At 45.9% G+C, this 3,742-nt stretch overlaps 1 annotated feature.

Moving 5' to 3' along the window:
- Nucleotides 3,371-3,450: an enhancer, noted in NCBI's record as "active region_16441". NCBI's record gives its function as "activates an Ori minimal core promoter by ATAC-STARR-seq in GM12878 lymphoblastoid cells {active_cell/tissue: GM12878}" and the evidence as "EXISTENCE:reporter gene assay evidence [ECO:0000049][PMID:35858748]".

The raw sequence follows: 3,742 nt of genomic DNA on the forward strand, positions 1-3,742 counted from the left end.
TGGTATGTCAACCACAGTGTAGTTGGAGTGAGCCTTCCAACACATGCTAAAGAACCCCAACTGTCTTCTGAGTGTTTTTCTACAGAGGTGGAGGTCAGGATGGGTACTGGGTGGTGGGAGGTATGTGCTTGTCTAGCTTCCCAGCAGAGGTGTTACGGGACCACCATGGGGAAAGGCTGAGAACCTATGGGAAGGCTTGACAAAAAATGCTCAGGAGCTTCATGGTGGGACCAGGCAGGAGGGAGGCACCCAGGGTTCCCCTCCACACACAGTGCGCCTCTGCACTCTGCTGCCCTCAGAAGACAGTTGGGGCTTCTTAGCATGGTGCCCCAGCCCTTCAGGACCTGGCTCCTGCCACATCTTCAGCCATACCCTGCCCCTTCTCTCTGTCCCTCCCACACTGAGGACAGCAGTTCTGCTCTCAGTTCTGGGGGCTTTGCTCATATTGCTCTTCTTGCAGGGCACAATTTGCTCCACCTTTTAGCCAGACCTCAGTTCAGGGACCATCTCCTCTAAGAAGACTTTGCTGACAACTCCCCCACCCCCTCACTCAACATATACCCCCTTATTATCCCAGGACATCGGGCACATTTACTGCATTGTAACAGGCTCACAACATTTATGACATCATATTGTGGTTGTCTCTTAGCTGACTGTCTACTTGTGTGGGGTAGTGGTGAAGGTGCATTCTCTGGAGCCACCATGTCTGGGTTCACATCTAGGCACTACCACCCATCAGCTGAGTGGCCTTCTACAAGTTCCTTAACCCCTCTGTGTCCCTGTTTCCTCCAACTGAAAAATGAAGATGACCATAGCACCTGCTTCTCAGGTGGGCATGAGGATGAAATGAGGTAATAGCCATAGAGTGCTGGGAACAGGACATGCATACAATAAGCCCTACAATAATGTGACATTATTATTAGACTGTGATCACCTTGAGGGCAGGGTGATCTGCTTTATCTGTCTCTGAATCCATAGTTTCCAACTAAGCCCCAAATTAATGATGAATAGTAATAGCACTAACAATGATAAGAGCAATGAACATCTGCAGAGGTTACACTTTATAGCCTATAAAATGTTTTCACAAACTGTATTTCATTTAGTTGTCAGCACACTGCTGTCAGGTACCTAAGATTATTCCCATTTCACAGATGAAGCAACTAAGGCTCAGAGAGTCCTGGATGAGTCCAGTATGTTGGAGGATTCTAGACAGCCATCTGAATTCAATACTCATGCTTTTGGAATATGGACATTTTAATAGCCAAGACTGAGTCAGCATCTTCTCTTTCTTTGGAAGTCTCTCTTCCAGATTCCGTCTGGTAAATTTCCACTTGTACTTCAACTCCTAGCTTCGAAGTCATCATTCCAGAGGATCTTACTGCCTCTTACATGCTGCCTTGGCTATTCAGTCTATGCCACCCAATCGCATTTCTCTTTTCCTTTCTGTTTTTTCCTGATGTTCCCACTACCCTGTAATCTCTTTAAAGGCAAGGACCATTTATGGTTCATCTTAGTATCTCCCATGCCTAACATGGCATTAGCAGATGAAGGTGCTGGAAACAAACTGAACTGAAGCTTGGTTCCTTCAGTATGTGATATGCACACAGGGTAGAGTATGATGTGGATTGTAGGCAGAAGCACAGTATGTGTGGAGGAAGGCCCTGGACTCCCTCCTGCCTGGTGCCACCATGAAGCTCCTGGAAATTTTTTCTCAACCCTCCCCATAGGTTCTCAGCCTTTCCCCAGGGCAGCCACAATAGTACATCTGCTGGGGAGCTGGACACAGCACCCCCTCCCACCTCCCAGGACCCATCCTGACCTCCACCTCTGTAGAAAAACCCCCAAAGTCTGAGGTGACTTCACTGTAGGAAGCCAAGAGTGGCCATCAATGCAACTACTTCACCCTAAAAGAGAGGGAAAAGAAAGAAAAACTTGTTTTGCCCTTTCAAAATGCTGCCAATCCTTTTGTGAGCCTTAGTGGAAGGTGCATATCCCAAAACTTTATCTATTGATAGAAGATAAGAGCAGCGCCTTGTATTCAAAATACTGTTTCCTTCTCCTTAAAGCCTGGTTCTCCATCAAATACAAGTCTCAATGGCCTCAGCCCAGAGCCGCGCACTCCCTGAAATCACAAGAATAATGCCTGGCTGAGATTTGGACCATTAAGAAGGTCCCTCCCTGGAATGGTTCGGGAACTTTAGCAACTGATAATGGTGCTGGAGTTCAATTTCAAGGGCTATCCAATGTGAAGGGACAGATGATTTTAAGTAGTTTATTTCTTCATGTTTTGGAAACTTGATATCCTCTTTTATAAGTTGGAGTCATGATATTGTTTTGCAAAGTGATTGAAAAGATGAAATAACATAAATAGATACAGTCATTGTCCTCAGGGAACCTCTTGGGCCCAACCAGTGAGCCAAGTCTTTTGCAGACTAGGTGTGACTGGAGCCGGTAACGGTCCCCATCTTCACCCTCACTATATTCATGTCCATTGCCATGCATCTGTGCAGCTCTTTCATACCCAGACTCTGGGCTCAAGTTGGTGGTTTATGTTGGTCAGTGGAATAAGGCAGACAAGATGGTGTGCCAGTCTGGAGACTAGGCCTCAAGAGCTCCTGCATGTTTCACTTTTCCTCTTGCACTGCTTCCATCGTCGTGAGAATGACATGACTGAGGTAGCCCGCTGATTCCAGAGGTGGGTGAGAGACACCCGGAGCAGAGCTGAGTCACTGCAGCCAAGGCTGGCCTAGACTGGCCAAGCGATAGCCAAGCCCCAGATGCCTCAGTGCTCCCAGCCGAGATCAGCAGAGCTGTCCAGTCAAGCCCACTGTAGAGCAGTGCTGGGCTCTGCAGACATGTGCCAAATAATGTTCGTTGTTTTAGTTTCTGAGGTTTTGTGCAACAAAAACTGCCTGAATTGAGATCAGTGGTGAAATAGAATGAGAGCATTGATATGAACATGGTTTACAAACTTTTAAGGACTATGAAGATTATTCCAAAGGAATGCAGGAACAAAGAGAGAATTGTGTCAACAAAGTCTGGCACATGGCAGGATTCCACTCACTTTCCACAAACTTCGAAGGAAGAAGTAGCTAATTGAATCTGAAGTTTCATTCACTAGAAACTAATATAGAGAATTTACAATAACTTCTCCTGGATGGAAAGTAAGATCCATCGTGTATATGTTAAACAAGAGAAGCATTTGATCCCTTATCTTCCTAGTTAACATTGATCTTTAACACTGATTATGTGATAGTCTTCCTAATACAAAAACTGCCTGATGCCTGATACCTTGTGCCTTAACACTTGGGAGGATAATGAACATGGGAGCCCACAGGCTGGTTAGGGCACAAGTGGTCCGAAAAACCCCAGGGCCTTATGAACAGTTTATAGTTCATAACCGCGTGTCTCTAGGTTTGACTTCTCTTGGTTTGAATCTTGCCTGAATATAGTCAGATTTTCAGATAAGCTTTGTGATTGTAGAGGTTTTCCTAGGTGACAGATGGTGGTGGAAAGGAAGTACATGCAAAAGCGTCTCTTTTTTTTTTTTTTTTGAGACAGAGTCTCGCTCTGTCGCCCAGGCTGGAGTGCAGTGGTGTGATCTCAGCTCACTGCAACCTCTGCCTCACTGGTTCAAGCGATTTACCTGCTTCAGCCTCACGAGTAGCTGGGACTACAAGCACACACTACCACGCCAAGCTAATTTTTGTATTTTTAGTAGAGACAGGGTTTTACCATGTTG

The sequence above is a fragment of the Homo sapiens genome, chromosome 2, assembly GCF_000001405.40.
Source record: "Homo sapiens chromosome 2, GRCh38.p14 Primary Assembly".
NCBI lineage: Eukaryota > Metazoa > Chordata > Mammalia > Primates > Hominidae > Homo > Homo sapiens.